The sequence below is a fragment of the Homo sapiens genome, chromosome 16 (assembly GCF_000001405.40).
Source record: "Homo sapiens chromosome 16, GRCh38.p14 Primary Assembly".
NCBI lineage: Eukaryota > Metazoa > Chordata > Mammalia > Primates > Hominidae > Homo > Homo sapiens.
This window is the reverse complement of record NC_000016.10, coordinates 81,759,040-81,777,759: the sequence shown is the minus strand read 5'-3', so window position 1 is coordinate 81,777,759 and position 18,720 is coordinate 81,759,040. Positions and strand designations below refer to the sequence as shown.

Sequence of the window (18,720 nt, the reverse complement as noted above, 5' to 3'; positions counted from 1 at the left end):
ACAGGCATGAGCCACTGCACCCGGCCTGTTATAGCGTTTTTTAATTGAGGAATATCACTCTCACTGTCAATGTTGTATCCCAAGCCATAGGACTCGTTTGTGACTTCACAAGATCTGTGGATTCATTTCTTTCAGCACTCCCAACTGGCGTGTATAGCTGTGCTCATCACCACAGATCACTTAACACATCAATTTTTTAAAGAGATCTTGGAAGGACTCATTATGACATCAACCACTTGAAGTCATTGGGCCAATTCCCCAGGAAAAATGACTACATCTAGGGGCAATTCCTTTGCCTCACTTTTTTTTTTTTTTTTTTTTTAGAACTTCAGCTTGTATTTATTTCAACCAATCTTTTTCACACTTTTGTTTTAGTATGTGTTATATAAAGTACATAATATATTAGTTCAGTCATATATATGTATAATTTATTATTACAAAGTCTACATGGATAGGGGAGTGGGTTAAGTCTCTTGATGGCAAAATGAGATTGCATATAATCAGAATGTGTGGAGACCACTCTAGGGAGCCGTGGCTCCTAAAAGCCTATCTTGACAGATGCCAATTCTGGCTGGATTTTTCTCTCATCTGTGGGAAGCAAGCAAAAAAATAAGAACATGAAGAACAGGTTTCTCTGTTTAATCTATGCCTGTGAGCCTATAGTATTTTTGAGTTAAAATGTCCACTGTGTGTGAGATAATGGTCATCGTAAATGGCAGTTTGCTTTTTTTTCTTTCATGTTTTTAATTCATTTTCTTCTTTGGCTCATTTTTTGCTAACCAACCCCTAGCCCAACCCCACCCCCCAGGTGAACGACTGAAGGAATCAGTGGATTGAAAGAGAGTACTGGAGGCCCTTCATCTCTTTCTCAAACTCTAACTTGGTTGTTCAAAATAAAAATAATCTGCCAGGTGCAGTGGCTCATACCTGTAATCCCAGCACTTTGGGAGGCCAAGGCAGGCGGCTTACCTGAGATCAGGAGTTCACGACTATCCTGGCCAACATGGTAAAACACCCTCTCTACTAAAAATACAAAAATTACCCAGGCATGGTGGCACACACCTGTAGTGTCAGCTACTCACGAGTCTGAGGTAGCAGAATCGTTTGAACCCAGAAGGCAGAGGTTGCAGTGAGCCAAGATGGTGCCACTGCACTCCAGCATAGGTGATAGATCAAGACTCCATCTCAGAATTAACAATCGTCGTCATCATCAAGGCGGCAGGCGCTGTTCTGGGAGGACTCTAATGTAAAATGACACTTCTTTTCCCAAGGATAATAGGTGGGGAAGGAACCATTCTGTGTATTCTTTCTTTTCCATGGAATAAAATAGGTAGGGAAAGAAACCACTCTGAGCCGGGCGCGGTGGCTCACGCCTGTAATCCCAGCACCCTGGGAGGCTGAGGCGGGCGGATCACGAGGTTGGAAGATCAAGACCATCCTGCTTAACATGGTGAAAACCCGTCTCTACTGAAAATACAAAAACATTAGCCTGGCCTGGTGGTGGGTGCCTATAATCCCACCTACTCAGGAGGCTGAGGCAGGAGAATGGCCTGAACCCAGGAGGTGGAGCTTGCAGTGAGCCGAGATTGTACCACTGCACTCTAGCCTGGGCAACAGAGTGAGACTCCGTCAAAAAAAACAAAAAAGAAAGAAGGAAAAAAAGAAAGAAAGAGAGAGAGAGAGAGAAAGAAACCACTCTGTGGGTTCAGACATATGAGGTAGAAAGGCCCTGTCACAGGTTAGCTGTCAGAGGGCTAGAGTGGGTTAAGTCAGTGGGTGGTGGGGGCTGGATTTGAACCTCAGCCTGTCTGGTGTCAGAGCCCATGGGCATGCTGACCTGCCACCCATCCCCAGATTAATAAGAGGCATTCAGGCAGGGAGATGTGAGTTTGTAACCACTCTACATAGATGCACAAATGGGTCAGGAAGTGACCTCAAAGGGTAGAGGGATCTTTCTTTTCCTTTTCCTACAAAAGAAAGAAAAAGGGAAGTGGATAGGTAAGAAAGAATAACCTGAAAGAAAATTACATTTTAAGCTGAATCATCTTGACTCTTTGTATTCTGTGTTGCTCACCAGTCCTTGGGCATACAAATGCTTTTCCCTATTACCCTCTTCTCTTTGCTGGCAGCCATGGTGCATTGGACCATTAGCCTCTCTGGGTATCAGTTTCCTCATTATTATACCTATGGGTATCAGAAATGTACCTACATCTGAGGGGGACTGTGAGATGAGGGAGGTAAAGCCCTCATCCCCATGGGGCAAAACCAAGGCTGACTATTTTAGGAATTGTTACTGGGAAGAAGAAGACCTCCTGTGAAAGCATGAACTTGGAAACAAGGAATCTGGGCTCCAGTTCCAAGTCTGCCCCTTCCTTAGTTTTATGGCTGTGGGCTGCTCAGCCACCCTCTTTGGACTTAATTTCCCCATCATAAGACCCACCTATAGCATATGCAGAATTAGCAAATCTACAGAGACAGAACGTAGATCAGTGGTTGCCAAGGACCAGGAAAGCAGAGAGCGGGCCTATCGGAAGGTAAAAGATAAGGGGTACAGGGCTGCTCTTTGGGATGATAAGAATGTTCTAAAATGGATTGTGACGATGGCTGCTCAGCTCTGTGAATGTGCTGAAGCCTCTGTACTGTACACTTTACATGCATGAGTTGCATGGGATGTGAATTATATCTCAAGAAAGCTGTTTTGAAAAATATCTGTGGACTGGGCACATTGGCTCATACCTGTAATCTCAGCTATTTGGGAGGCTAAGGAGGGTGGACCACTTGAGCCCAGGAGTTCAAGACTAGCCTGGACAACATGATGAGACCTCCATCTCTACAAAAAACTTTAAAAATTAGCCAGGCCTGGTGGAGTGAGCCTGAGTCACAGCTACTCGGGAAGCTGAGGCAAGAGGATCACTTAAGCCCAGGAGGCAGAGGTTGCAGGCAGTGAGCCGAGATCATGTGCCACTGCATTCCAGCCTGGGCAACAGAGTAAGACCCTGACCAAAAAAAAAAAAACACCCTTAGAGGGTTATTTCAAACCCAGACCTCCTTTCCCCTCCTCCACCACCACCTCCAAAGGCAGTGACCAGGCTGAGGTCCACCGCCCTGCCCCAGGGAACCTCGCCAACCCTACCCCTCTACCCCCACAGCCAAAATGACCAGAAAACCCCCTGGAGCCCTTGAGTCTAGTTTCCTTTCCCAACATTGTTCAGAGAAGCACACATCCGTGGCGACGAGCCGAGTCCCAGCTGCTGGCTGGCAGGCCTCTGTGAGAGGAAGTACCACCCAGAATGGGCTTTCAATGGGGTTAGGCCTCACTGCTTCTGGAGGTAGGGGAGGGCAGACCCCTCTGCTATTTAAATTGTGGCCAGCTTGGTGGAGCCCCCGGTTTAATGGTTTTGTGGGTTTTGTTTTGTTTTGTTTTTTTTACTGCCCAGGCTGGAGTGCAGTGGTTGGATCTCAGCTCACTGCAACCTCTGCCTCCTGGGCTCAAGTGATTCTTGTGCCTTAGCCTCCTGAGTAGTTGGGACTACAGGCGTGCATCACCACGCCTGGCTTTTTTTTTTTTTTTTTTTTTTTTTTGTATTTTTAGTAGAGACGGGATTTCACCGTGTTACCCAGGCTGATCTCAAACTCCTGAGCTCTGGCAGTCCACCCACCTCAGCTTCCCAAAGTGCTAGGATTACAGGCATAAGTCACTGTGCCCGACCCATGGTTTTGCTTTGAGCACCTCTAACCTGGAGTCCTGGTGGAGCTCATTTATTCATTCAACAAACATTTGCGGAGTGCCTGCAAGGGGCCAGGCACTCCCAGGCTCCAGGGATATAGCAGCAACCATCAAAGTCCTGCATGATGGGCACAGAGTGTAGTTGGAGGAACACAAAAAGGGGGCTTTGGAGTGAGACAGAGCTGGTTCCAGTCCCAGTCGCTCACTCTCTGTAGCTCTGCACAGCATTTGCAGCCGCTGTAAGCTTCACTTTCTTCTTTGGTAAATAGGGCTGCTGTGGAGGAGTGAGTCTGCGAACGCATATCCAAGTCCTGGGCATGGATCCTGGTTAGATGGGACCCCTGGAGCTGACTCAGTAGTCACTACATTGCAATGAACTCTCAACATGCGGACCCTGTTATGCTAAGAACCAGACTGCAACCAGGCATTTGCCAGGCCCCAAACCTCATGTAAAATCAAGACAGCCAGTTGAAAGCCAAGAGCAATAGTGTACAAGAGCAGCTGAAAACATGGGACACAGAGACAGGTGGGCCTCAGTGTGAATCCCAGCTCTGCCTCTTACCCCCCTGTGTCTCCAACAATGTAATAGTCTCTGAGCCTCAGTTTCCCAATCTGCACTGCTGAAGACAAAAGCCCCTCGTTCTCATGTCTGGAGTCTCCACTAGGACGTATTCAGCTTCCACAAAAAGGCTATCAATGATCTCACATTGCTGGAAGCCCAGGAGTGGTTGGGGTGCAGACAAGGTACACTGAGAAGTTCAAGTGTGTCAACAGGGACACCGATTATTTCCACATCTGCCACTCCTGGCAACCAGACCTGAAAGGGAAGAGACTGAAAAGAGTACACCTTTTCCCAACGCCCCCCCACACCCAGCATGCTTTCCCTCTGTCTCATTGGCCAGAAATGGGTCACAAAGCCTGCTCTGCCTCAGTCACTCTCCAAGAAAATGGGATTTTCCACATTTGGCAGTATATTTAGGATGGATCAGCTTCCCCCACATCATGAGAGGATGCCCAAGAGTATGTGGCCAAACAGGGCAGCTGTCGGCAGGGGCAAGGGGAGATGGTGTCAGGCAGGCAGTCTGCAGGGTCCTGCAGTGGTCATAGGCTGCACCAGGCAGCTGGCACAGAGCAAGAAGGCATCCGAAGGTCTCCCTTTTGTTCCCACCACAGACCAGCAAGCCAAGCTTCCTTTCTTAGCCTTTTCAGTCATTCTTTTTTTTGGAGATGGAGTCTCACTCTATTGCCCAGGCTGGAGCACAGTGGCATGATCTTGGCTCACTGCAACCTCCACCTCCCTGGTTATCCTGCCTCAGCCTCCCGAGTAGCTGGGATTACAGGCATGCACCACCACACCCAGCTTTTTTTTTTTTTTTTGTATTTTTAGTAGAAACAGGGTTTCACCATGTTGGCCAGGCTGGTCTTGAACTCCTGACCTCAGGTGATCCACCCACCTCGGCCTCCCAAAGTGCTGGGATTATAGGCGTGAGCCACCGTGCCTGGCCCCTTTCATTCATTGGACAAACACTGAGCCCTTATTTAATACCAGGCCCCGTGTCTTACCTTCCAAAGGCTGCCGTAACAAATTACCATGAACTTGGTGACTTAAAAAAAAATAGAGATATATCATCTCACAGTTCTGGAGGCCAGAAGTCTGAATGCAAGGTGCCAGCAGCAGCACTGGTTCCCTCCTTAGGCCCTAGGTGAGAATCTGCCCCACGCCTTTCTCCCGGGTTCTGTGGTTGGTGGTGATCATGCGCTCCTTGGCTTGGAGCTGCATCACTCTAACTCTGCCTCTGTCTTCTCATGGCCCTCTGCTCTCTGTCTCAAATACCCCTCTCCTTTCTCTGGTAAGAACACCAGTCCTCTGATTGAGTGTCCACCCTGAATCCAGGATGTTCTCATCTTGAGATCCTTAACTTAATTACCTCCATAAAGACCCTATTTCCAGCCTTGCACCAGTGGCTCACACCTGTAATCCCAGCACTTTGGGAAGCCGAAGTGGGCAGATCACTTAAGGCCAGGAGTTTAAGACCAGCCTGGCCAACATGGTGAAACCCCGTCTCTACTAAAAATACAAAAAGTAGCCAGGCGTAGAGGCACAGCCTGTAGTCCCAGCTAGTTGGGAAGCTGAGGCAGGAGAATCATTTGAGCCCAGGAGGTGGAGGTTGCAGTGAGCGGAGATCCTGCCCTGGCACTCCAGCTTGGGCAAGAGAGAGAGACTCCAACTCAAAAAAACAAACAAACAAGCAAACAAAAACAAAAACAAACCTTATTTCCAAGTAAGGTTACATTCACAGGTGCAGGGTTTAGGACTTAGTTTTTTTGTTGTTGTTTTTTTTGGGTGGGGGGTTGGGGGGGGTCACAATTCAACCCACTGTACCCTATATTAGGCAAATAGATTAGACCTATTTACCTCTCAATGGGGAGACAGCAGGAAGAGGCATTTACTATCACAGAATGGCAAGAGCTGAATTAGAGGGACAAATCAGGCAAGGGCTAATCCTCTGCCTCATGGAGCTGCGAAGACTTCTCAGAGGAGGTAACCTCAGAACTGGGTCCTGAGGGATGAGCAAGAGTTCTCCAACAGCACCAGAGAGAGGGAAGCTTTGTCTAAAACAAGGCTGTGTTTCACAAAACTCATCAGTGCTTTTAGAAGTCAGAATAGTCCTGGCTACTTGGGAGGCTGAGATGGGAGGATCCCTTGAGCACAGGCGTTTAAGGCTGCAGTGAGCTGTGACAACACCAGTGTACTCCAGCCTGAGCAACAGAAAGAGACTTTTTCTCACACACAAAAAGAAGTCAGAATAGAGAATCTCACTGCCTTGGAGGCAGCAGAAGGAAGGACCTTGAGGGCTGCGATGTTCTAGGTTTTGATCTTGTGGTCACATGGGTTAGTCACTTTATGAAAATGTACTGAGCTCTGTACTTATGATCTGGGCCTTTTATTTATTTATTTATTTTTTTTTTTTTTTGAGATGGAGTCTCGCTCTGTCACCAAGGCTGGAGTGCAGGGGCATAATCTCGGCTCACGGCAAGCTCCACCTCCCGGGTTCACACCATTCTCCTGCCTCAGCCTCCCGAGTAGCTGGGACCACAGGCACCTGCAACCACGCCCAGCTAATTTTTTGTTTTTTTAGTAGAGATGGGATTTCACCGTGTTAGCCAGGATGGTCTCGATCTCCTGACCTCACGATCCGCCCGCCTCGGCCCCGCAAAGTGCTGGGATAACAGGCGTGAGCCACCGCGCCCGGCCTGATCTGGGCCATTTTATGCACGTTATACCTCAACAGAAAGTTAGTATTATTATTTTGATACAGGGTCTCACTCTGTAGCCCAAGCAGGAGGGCAGTGGCGCAATCTCAGCTCACTGCAACCTCTGCCCTCTCCGCCGGGCTCATACAATCCTCCCACCTCAGCCTCCCAAGTAGTTGGGACTACATGCACACATCACCAAGCCTGGCTAGATGTTTGTATTTATTTATAGAGACAAGGTTTCATCGTGTTACCCAGGCTGGTCCTGAACTCCTGAGCTCAAACGACTCTCCCACCTAAGCCTCCCAAAGGGCTGGGATTACAGGCATGTGCTACCACACCAGGCCAAAAAATTAATATTTTTTAAAGGCTGTTCAATATGTTCACATGTCTCTGACTTTTCTCTTGTCATTGTTTTCTAAATATTCTTTACTATGCATGTCTTAGTTGTTATAGAAAACTAAAACTGTTTCAAAAACAAGGCTGCTAGTAGTCAGAACGGTTGCCCTTGGGAAGGTGGTGATGAGCAGCACCCAGGCGAGTCCTGAGGGGTGCTGGTTTCTCGGTTGGGGTGTGGGTGATGTGGGCGTGGGTGTGTTCAGTGTGTGAAGATCCAGTGAACTGTACACTTCTCTGCGTTGTTATGCATCAATAAAAATTAAAATATAAGGCAGTTAGCGAAGGGGGTGGAGAGAAAGCATTTGGAATCTTTTTGGCTTACCAAAATCCACAACATTTATTGAATATCTACCTTGCATCAGGGCCCTTCGTGCAGTCAATGTATTTCATCCTCACAGTGGAACTGGGAAGCTCCATTACTTTCAGGACAGCTTTACAGATAAGAAAACCGAGGCTCAGAGGCATTAAGCGACCGGCAGGTGTGAAACACCAGTGGTGGCAGAACTAGAATCTGAAGGCCCATGTCTTTTTCTTTTTTTTTTTTTTTTTTTTTTTTTTTGAGACGGAGTCTCGCTCTGTCGCCCAGGCTGGAGTGCAGTGGCGGGATCTCGGCTCACTGCAAGCTCCGCCTCCCGGGTTCACGCCATTCTCCTGCCTCAGCCTCCCAAGTAGCTGGGACTACAGGCGCCCGCCACTACGCCCGGCTAATTTTTTTTTGTATTTTTAGTAGAGACGGGGTTTCACCGTTTTTTTAGCCGGGATGGTCTCGATCTCCTGACCTCGTGATCCGCCCGCCTCGGCCTCCCAAAGTGCTGGGATTACAGGCGTGAGCCACCGCGCCCGGCCCCATGTCTTTTTCAAGACCTAGAATTATTTACACTTCTACAGAGGACTCTCACCTCTCCTGGGGGGCCTTAGAAAAGTCTGAGATGCGCCGGGAGTTATTGGCCTTACTGAATCAGAACGTAGGGGCAGGGCCTAGGGATCCGCATTTAACTGCCGCCCGCCGCTATCATTCTCTTGCACCCTCTAGTATGGGCACCAGTGCCTTTCACTGAAACAACAGGGAAGAAACCCAGGCAAGCCTGTTCAGAGGTAGAAGCAGTCTGGGCACTTTGGGCAGATACAGGAAGATATTAGACGTAATGGTAAGGGGGTTTTACCTGCGGCAACCATTTCAGAAAGACCAGCTCATCACTCATGGTGAGTTCCTTTGTGGGGGAGCAGAGAAACTCACATGGCATCTGAGACAAACTTACCTTAAGCACTGTTTCAATAGAACCCTCATTCATGCAGTCAAGAAATTCATTCATTCCATGAATGGACTCATTCAATCAGCCCACAGCATTTCTTGAGCACCTACCACATGTCAGTTACTACTACAGGCTCTGAGGATAAGGAGATGAAAGATTTATTCTCTGTCAGGAGTCCCAGGCTGCTGGGGAAGACCAACTGGTTGAACAAAAAATACGCACCTATTAAAATGGTTAAAATAAAAAACCACTGACAATAGGCTGGGCACGGTGGCTCACACCTGTAATCCCAGTACTTTGGGAGGCCGAGGTGCATGAATCACCTGAGGTCAGGAGCTGGAGACCAGCGTGGCCAACATGGTGAAACCCCATCTCTACTAAAAATACAAAAAATTTCCCAGGTATGGTGGGGGAAACCTGTAATCCCAGCTACTCGGAAGGCTGAGGCAGGAGGGTCGCTTGAACCCGGGAGGCGGAGGTTGCAGTGAGCTGAGATCGCACCATTGCACTCCAGCCTGGGCAACAAGAGCGAAACTCCATCTCGGGAAAAAAAAAAAAAAAAAAAAAAAAAAACTGAGGATAACACCGAGTGCTGGTGAGGATGTGGATCCACTGGTGGAAATGCAAAACAGTGCAGCCTCGTTGGAAAACAGCTGGGCAGTTTCTTTAAAAAGTTAAACATTCACTTACCATATGACCCAGCAAACTCACCTGTATTTACCTAAGAGATATGAAAACATATGTCCACAGAAAAACACTAATGTTTACAGTAGTTTCATTCATAATCACTGCAAACTGGAAACAACCCAAATGTCCTTCATTTGTGACTGGATAAACAAACATTCATACAGTGAAGTAGCACTCGGCTATAAAAAGTAATTATTGATACACACAAGACCAAGGCTGAATCTCAAATGCATGACTAAGCTGAGTGAAAGACACCAGCATTAGGCCGGGCATGGTGGCTCACGCCTATAATCCCAGCACTTTTGGAGGCCGAGGTGGGTCAGAAGTTCAAGACCAGCCTGGTCAACATGGTGAAACCCCATCTGTACTAAATATACAAAAACTAGGTGGGCATGGTGGCGGGTGCCTGTAATCCCAGCTACTCAGGAGGCTGAGGAAGGAGAATCGCTTGAACCCTGGAGGTAGAGGTTGCAGTGAGCTGAGATTGTGCCATTGAGCTCCAGCCTAGGCAACAAGAGCAAAACTTCGTCCCACTCCCTCACCGACTCCCCCCAAAAAAGACACCAGCATTAAAGGTTATAAACAGCGTGATTTTATATATGACATTCTGGAAGAGGCAGTGTTGTACAGACAGAAAGCAAATCCGTGGTTGCCAGGGGCTGGAGTGGGAAGAAGTGTTGGATACAAAAGAGCATAAGGGAATTGGGGAGGGGTGAGGAAATTGTTTTATATTTTGATTGTGTTGGAGATTACAACTTTACATATTTGACAAAACTTATAGAACTAAAAAAAACCTCAGAACTGTATATCAAAAAGGGTGAATTTTGCTGAATGCAAATAATATTTTTTAAAGAAAAAAAACAAGATTTTATTACAATACAAGTGATAATCCCAAAGAGAAGAAGAAGAAGTGATCAGTGCAGGTTGGGAAGGCTTCCTGGAGGTGACGGTCCCTAAGCTGAGCCTAGTAAAAGGACAAGAGTGTATCAGTTGAGGCCAGGCACAGTGGTTCACGCCTGTAATTCCAGCACTTTGGTAGGCCAAGGCGGGGGGATCCCTTTAGGTCAGGAGTTTGAGAAGAGCCTGGCCAACATGGTGAAACCCCATCTCTATTAAAAATACAAAAATTAGCCAGGCATGTTGGCAGACGCCCGTAACCCCAGCTATTCGGGAGGCTGAGGCACAAGAATCTCTTGAACCCAGGAAGCAGAAGTTGCAGTGAGCCGAGATTGCACCACTGCACTCCAGCGTGGGTGATAGATCGAGACTCAGTCTCAAAAAAAAAAAAAAAAAAAAAAAAAACCACGAGTTTATCAGTTGAATGGGGTGGAGAGGAGCAGGAATCCAGGCAATGGGAACAGCATGAATGACATCCACTCTGGGGAAAGACTCAGCTGTGCACGAGTGACTAGCAAGGAAAGCAGGGCTCACCAAGTGTTCCTTGACACTTGTTAAGGCATTTGGACTTCCTCCTGGGGATAAGGGGGAGCTACTGAAAGCCTTAGAGCAGAAGAATGACCTGGACAGACTTCCAGTTTGGAAAAGATCTTCTGTGGGCTGTAGGGAGGTGGGAGAAGGGAACCAGGCTGGAAGCAGGTTGAAGTCAAGACCAGTTGAAGTCATTCTTCCCTGTGATTGTACCTTCTTGGCTGAGACATCTGTCACTCCATGAACAATACTGAACACTTGCTGTGTTCCAGGGAATGTTCTAGAAGCTGAGGATATAAGAATGGACAAGGGGAAAAAAAGACAAAATACCGATGGCTCTTCCATTCTACTGAAGACAGACAGTAAACAAGGAAACACATAAACAAGATCATTTCCAGTGGGGTGAGCACTTTAGCAGAGCAGATGAATATAATGGGGGAGGAAGGGCTGGGTTTTTGTGTGGTGGTCACAAAGGCTTCTTGGAGGAGGGTGACCTGAGGAGGAGGAGGAAGAGGAGGAGGAGGAGGAAGAGGAGGAGGAGGAGGCGCTGGCTAAGTGAGGGCCTGGAAAATGGACTTCTCAGGCAGTGGGCTCAGCAAGTACAGAGGCCTGATTGCTTTTGAGGGTTACAAAATGGTGCAGAGCTTGAGGGCAGGGTTGGGGGCACAGCCAGGTGTCCACCTGTGTCTCCAGCCCTGCAGAGGAGAAACAGAGTGGCTTCCCCTAGGAGAGGCTGTGTTTCCCTCCTATGCCTCCCCCATGTTTTGGTGAATAACAGTTTATGGCCCCACTTGGAGAGAAAGGCCTGAGTCCCTGTAGGTGGATTTCCTCTTGACTCTAAAGGTCACAGCTGTTGCCATCATAAACAGTGCCCATGTTGACAAAATCAAACCAGCTCCAGGAGACAGGACACAGAGATGGGAGACAGGAGACAGAAGAGGTAGGACACACCTGGGAAGGCTAAGCCTCATTTACAAAGTTAAAAAACAAAAAGTAAAAAAATACCCAAGCAAGCAAACACACATCAGTGTCTTGTGACTCACAGCAAATGCCTGCATCTGTTACCTGGGTCCCCCGTCAATAGAGTTAGCTCCCTGTGGGGGCCCCCAGGGCCCTTTCCTAGTATGTAACCCACCTTGGCTACACAGCAGCTGTCCACAGGGGACATTCCTACATAGACTGGGCTTTTGCATCGGGTCTGAACTTAGCTGTCAACCAGCCATCCAGACCATTCAGAAGGGGCTAAAATGTCACTGAAAACATGCATTAGTTTCCCAGAGCTGCTATAACAAACACCATAACTCGCTGATGTGGTGGCTAAAAGTCTGAGACCCCGGGGTCAAAAGGGTTGGTTTCTTCTTTATTATTTATTTATTTATTGAGACCGAGTCTCACTCTGTCATCCAGGCTGGAGGGCACTAGCACCACCTCAGCTCACAGCAACCTCTGCTTCTCGGGTCCAAGCAATTCTCCTGCCTCAGCCTCCCGGGTAGCTGGGATTACAGGTGCCCATCATGACGCCCAGCTAATTTTTGTATTTTATGTAGAAACAGGGTTTCATCATGTAGCCCAGGCTGGTCTTGAACTCCTGACCTCAAGTGATCTGCCCTCCTGGGCCTCCCAAAGTGCTGGAATTACAGGCATGAGCCTCCACACCTGGCCGGCATGGTTGCTTTCTTCCGGAGGCTCTGCGGGAGATTGTCCCATGCCTCTCTCCAAGCTTTGGGTGGTTGCTGGGAATCTTTTGTGTGTTCTGGTTTGCAGATGCCTCTCCCCATCCTCTGCCTCAGTTGTCACATGGTGCTCTCCCTGTGTGTCGCTGTGTTGCCTTCATATCATCTTCCCTCTGTGCATGTCTCTGTGTCCAAATGTCCCTCTTCTTATGACACACCAGTCATTGATTTATTTTTTTTGTGGGGGGACAGTGTCTCATCTCACTCTGTCACCCAGGCTGGAGTGCAATGGGGTGATCACGGTTCACTGCGGCCTTCACCTCTAGGCTAAACCAATGCTCCCACCTCAGCCTCCCGAGTAGCTGGGACCACAGGTGCACACTACTATGCCCGGCTAATTTTTTATATTTTTTGTAGAGACAGGGTCTCAGTTTTGTCCAGGCTGGTCTCGAACTCCTGAGCTCAAGTGATCTGCCCACTTAGGCCTCCCAAAGTACTGGGATTACGGGATTGAACCACCACACCCAGCCTCATCAATTTAGGATGTACCCTAATGCAGTATGACCACATATTAACTTGATTACATCTGCAAAGACCCTCTTTCCAAATACAGCTATGTTCTGAGGTTCCAGCTGGACATAAATTTGGGGGACACTGTTCAACCTGGTCCACAAGGTAATAAAAAAGATGGAGAAAATTAGGCTTGCCAAAGTCCTCTGACACAGCTGGGATGGCCAGTGTTCAGCCTGTGGCTGAAAGACAACTGCATGGGCTGGAGGGTGAGACCTGCACGGGGCACGCTTGGCCAGTGATCAGTGTCGCAAAAGTGTCTTTGAGGAGAGTGAATCTATTCAGATGCCAGCTGTGGGCAATTGCACTTTCCAAAGACACATCCCCTGATTCTTCCTCCATCCCACATGCTCTTCTACACTGTCACATTGACATTCGTCCATGGAGAGATGGGGTCCAGGTTTCCTTTCCTTGAATCTGCCAGATCTTTGTAACTTTTCACTTTTTATTACTTATTTATTTATTTATTTTGAGACAGGATCTCACTCTGTCCCCCAGGGTGCAGTACAGTGGCTCAATCAATCACAGCTTACTCCAGCCTCGACCTCCTGGGCTCCAGCAATCCTCCCACTCAGCCTCCGGAGTAGCTAGGGATACAGGCTCACACCATCACACCTGGCTAATTTTTTAAATTTTTTATAGAAATGGGGTCTCACCATGTTACCCAGGCTGGTCTCGAACTCCTGGGCTTAAGCAATCCTCCTGCCTCAGCCTCCCAAAGTGCTGGGATTACAGGCTTGAACCACTGCACCCAGCCTCAGAACTTCGTAACTATTTTTTGTTTGTTTTTGTTTTTGTTTTTTGAGACAGAGTCTCTCTGTCGCCCAGGCTGGAGTGCAGTGGCAAAATCTTGGCTCACTGAAACCTCCGACTCCTGGGTTCAAGCGACTCTCATGCCTCAGCCTCCCGAGTAGCTGAGATTACAAGTGCCTGCCACCACGCCCAGCTAATTTTTCTATTTTTAGTAGAGATGGGGTTTCACCATGTTGGCCAGGCTGGTCTCGAACTCCAGACCTCAGGTGATCCACCCACCTCAGCCTCCCAAAGTGCTGGGATTACAGGCATGAGCCACCACACCCGGCCCCCTTTGTAACTTTTTATAGCTGCCTCAATAGAATGTAGTAAAAGGGACAATGTGTGACAGCTTCTGCCTGGCTTGAGGCACACAACTTAGGAGCCCCAAGATGACGTTAGAAGACCAGCTACCCTGACCTCACCATGCTGGAGAGGTGCCCGGGGAGCCTCACCTGTAAAGTTCACCTCTGCTCACATCTTCCCAGCCCAGGCACAGGCCGTGAGAGGGAGGACACCTTGGAGATGGCCCCAGCCCAAGTTGGCATCCACCTGCAGCTGGACAAGAGACCTTGCAGAGAGCTGGAACTTCCCAGCCACTCCCAAATACCCGACCCACAGAAACCATGAGAAAATCTGAGTTATTGTTGCTTTAGGCCACTGCATTTTGGAGTCATCTGTTATGCAGCAATGGATGACTGATACAGGGAGATTATTTTGCTGAGTGGAGCTTGCAAATCTGGGCTACAGCAGAATCATCTGCGGCAGTGGAGGAGAGGCTGGGTTCTCCCATCTGGAACTTTCCTTCTTTGCCTTCTGTAAGGCCTCTTCTTCAGTCTCCTCTAAATCAAATCTGAGCAAGCAAGTATTTTTATCTTTTGTATTTTATCTTATTTTTTGTTGATTTAATTATTTTTAAGAGACAGGGTCTCACTCTGTTGCCCAGGCTAGAATACAGTGGCATGATCATATCTCACTGCAGCCTTTAACTCCTGGGCTTAAGGGATCCTCCTGCCTCAGTCTCCTGAGTAGCTGGGACTACAGGCATGTGCTACCATTCCCGCTAATTAAAAATTTGTTTGTAGAGGTGAGGTTTCACTATGTTGCTGAGGCTGATCTTAAACTCCTGGCCTCAAGTGATCCTCCTGCCTTGGCCACCCAAAACCTTGGGATTAGCAAGTATTTTTAATGCCCATTTGAAGGGGCTCTGCCTGATCAGCCAGCCTTGGGGACTTGGGGGGATATTGCAGTGGTGTATTCTTTTGCTCAGGCTTTTCCCATTGTCAGGAAGTCCCTTGGCCTGCCTTTTCACTCTCCCCTCAACCTAATGATTCTGTTTCATCTATAGGACTCTGTTCCTTATGTTAAAGGAAAATACAGACAATTTTATACACTTTTTTTTTTTTTGAGACGGAGTCTCACTCTATTGCCCAGGCTGGAATGCAGTGATGCAATCTTGGCTCACTGTAACCTCCACCTACCAGGATCAAGCGATTCTCATGCCTCAGCCTCCCGAGTACCTGGGACTATAGGAGCATGCCATCACACCAGGCTAATTTTTGTGTTTTTAGTAGAGACAGGATATTCCCATGTTGGCCAGGCTGGTCTTGAACTCCTGACCTCAGGTGATCCGCCTACCTTGACCTCCCAAAGTGCTGGGATTACAGGCGTGAGCCACCATGCCCAGACCATTTTAACAGTTGACAGTTTCTTTTTAAAAAAATAATAGCAACATATGTATGCATTTGCCATTACTTTGAAATGCATTAAAATTAACATGCATTAATAATTGGAAAGAGGCATAGACAGATGTGACAAAGCAAACAGAGTAAATGTTCAGGGGCCATGCGTGGTGGCTCATGCCTGTAATCTGAGCACTTTGGGAGGACGAGGTACACAGGTCACCTGAGGTCAGGAGTTCCAGACAACCCTAGCCACCACATAGGGAAACCCCATCTCTACTAAAAAATACAAAAAGTAGCTGGGCGTGGTGGTGCATGCCTGTAGTCCCAACTACTTGGGAAACTGAGGCAGGAGAATCACTTGAACCTAGGAGGCAGAGGTTAGAGTGAGCCGAGATCACACCACTGCACTCCAGCCTGGGTGACAGAACAAGACTCCATGCGCAAAAAAAAAAAAAAAAAAATGTGCAGGGTGAAATCATAGGTAGTGACTAGATGGATGCTTGCTATACAACCCTTTTTACTTTTCTGTATGTTTTAAAATTTTTATAATAAAAGATTGGAAAAATGAGAAGAGCAAACAACTACATAGCAAATACAATGAGCTAGATATGGTTCTAAGCCTTATGTCTGTTAACTCATCCCATCCTCAGCCCAACCCATGAGGGGTGTTCTATTTTGATCCCCATTTTACAAAGGAGGAAACTGGGGCATAATGAAGTTCGAGCCATGGTCAAGTTTGAAAGGCTAGCCGAGGGAAAGACATATGACTCTAACCTAGGCAGTCAGCTCCCAGGCTGCTGCCCAAGCTTAACCATTACAACGCGTCACCTCTCACCCATGTACTGTGTTATAATCAGAAGAATTACACTTTCATAATTACAATACACTTACATTTAAGTATTATCATTACTATTATTATTACTTTAAAGACAAGGTCTGGCCCTGTTGCCCAGGCTGGAGTGTAGCGGCTTGACCATAGCTCACTGCATCCTTGAACTCCTGGGTTTAAGAGATCCTCCTGCCTCAGCCTTCTGAGTAGCTAGGACTACAAGTATGCACAACCACACCCAGCTAACTTTAAAAACATTTTTGTAGCTGGGCGCAAGTGGCTCATACCTGTAAGGCCAGCAGTTTGGGAGGCTAAGGTGGGAGGATCACTTGAGCCCAGAAGTTTGAGACCAGCCTGGGCAACATAGTGAAACCTTGTTACTACAAAAAATACAAAAATTAGCCAAGTGTGGTGGTGCGCACTTATAGTCCCAGCTACTGAGAAGTAGGAGAATCACCTGAGCCCAGGAGGTCGCTGTTGCCGTGAGCTGAGATCACGCCACTGCATTCTAGCCTGGGTGACAGAGTGAAACTCTGTCCTCAAACAAACAAACAAAAATTTTAAGCCAGGGATCTCACTATATTGCACAGGCTGGCCTTGAGCTCCTAGCCAGAGATGAGCCTCCTGCCTTAGCCTACCAAAGTGCTGGGATTATAGGTACTTGCCACCATGCTCAGCTAATTATTATTATTATTATTATTATTTTTTTTTTTAATAGAGACGGGGTCTCACTATGTTGCCCAGGCTGCTCTTGAACTCCTGCCCTCAAGTGATCCTCCCACCTTGACCTCCCAAAGGGTTGGGATTATAGGCATGTGCCATTGTGCTCAGCCCATATAAGTATTATGTAGTGGGCTCTGCCATTCTTTTTGGGTGCCCAGCAAAATTTGACCTCCTATGTTTGACTGCCTCCCCATATAAGGCCACACCTAGCCAAAGAAAAAGCCAGATCTTGTTTTCCCACACTCCCTTGCAGCTTGGGTAGGGACGCTCAGCTCTGCCCCATAGTCAGACGTACCAGCATCAGGCTTGTGTCCAAAAGCCACCAACAAGAGAAGCAGGTGTCAGAGGGTACATATCTGGCAAAGGTAGTGGCAGAAACACCTGGTATCTGGAGGGAGAGAACCAGAGGGTGCAGCACCCTGAGCCCAGCAGAACCAGCCATGCTCTGTGCCCAGTCCTGGCAGTGGGCACTGCTCTACTCGAGCAATCCCACCTGTGGTTGTGCTTTGTTTCTGGCTATGTAGACTCCAGACCTGGATCTCTGCCCTCCTGGAGACTCTCCAAGCCACCTAATGTCCTTTAATAAATTCCTCATTCTTCCTAACACTAGAATGAATTCCTGCTGTGCCTCCTACAACTGATAGATGAGCAGTGGCGCGATCTCGGCTCACTGCAAGCTCCGCCTTCCAGGTTCACGCCATTCTCCTGCCTCAGCCTCCCCAGCAGCTGGGACTACAGGCGCCCGCCACCACTCCCGGCTAATTTTTCGTATTTTTAGTAGAGACGGGGTTTCACCGTGTTAGCCAGGATGGTCTCGATCTCCTGACCTTGTGATCTGCCCGCCTCGGCCTCCCAAAGTGCTGGGATTACAGGCGTGAGCCACCACGCCCGGCCTACATTGTATTCTTAACTATAGAAAGAAAACTCAGCAGAGCTACAAGACTGGAAAGGAGCTACGGACAAGTGCTCAGTGCAATGGGTAACGTACAATTTAAGGGAAATTTGACAAGTATATGTCCATATATACAAGCTATAAGCTATCCTTGGAAGATCATCTAGAAAGCGGCAACAGTAGCGGTCCCTAGGAGGAGTTTGGATGACAGGGGCTCCAGGCACTGGGGGTCTCAAGACAGATCAGACTAGAAAGAAACTTTGGAGGAAGTAGGATACGGTGGCAGAGGCACTGAAAGAGCCAGGCTTTGCAGTAGATCTATTCAGGTTGAAAATGCAGCTTTCCTGCTTGGGAGACTCATTGAATCTGTGATTTTAGACCTTTAGAATTCTGCAGCAGTGCAGATATTACCTATCAAAGAATAAATAACATAAGTAAATATATTTAAAAGGGAAATAAAAAAGATTAAATATTAATCATAGTGGTCTGTGGGAGGTTCTTTTTCCATCTCTTTATACATTTTTGGCTTTTTCAAATATCTTAGCATGAGGATGTGTGCTTTAAAAACCAAAAACAAAACAAAACAATGAGAAGGAACTGGAGCCTACAGAATAGGAAAGAATATTTGCAAATCATGTATCTGATAAAGGACTAGTATCTAGAATCTATAAAGAACTCTTACAACTCAATAATGAAAAGACAACCCAATTAACAGTGGGTAAAGAATCCAAATGGACATTTCTTCAAAGAAAATATACAAATGACTGATAATAACACGTAAAGATACTTCCTGGGAAATGTAAATTA

General features: G+C 47.5%; 1 protein-coding gene and 1 long non-coding RNA gene across 9 annotated transcripts in view; both read right to left on the bottom strand.

The window, feature by feature from the left end:
* The window catches only part of PLCG2 (phospholipase C gamma 2), a 223,645-nt gene that overhangs the window by 184,926 nt on the left and 19,999 nt on the right, over positions 1–18,720 (bottom strand). The gene's annotated exons all lie outside the window — the stretch shown is intronic.
* LOC105369213 (uncharacterized) overlaps positions 407–18,720 on the bottom strand; it is a 38,313-nt gene continuing 19,999 nt past the window's right edge. For 3 of the 6 annotated variants that reach the window (NR_189579.1, NR_189580.1, NR_189581.1), the window contains exon 3: positions 9,891–11,036. This is a non-coding gene — a long non-coding RNA (uncharacterized LOC105369213). Of the gene's footprint in view, positions 589–9,890; positions 11,037–14,239; positions 14,337–18,720 lie in introns of those variants that run through there. The other 3 variants (NR_189584.1, NR_189583.1, NR_189582.1) reach the window with 2 other exon arrangements.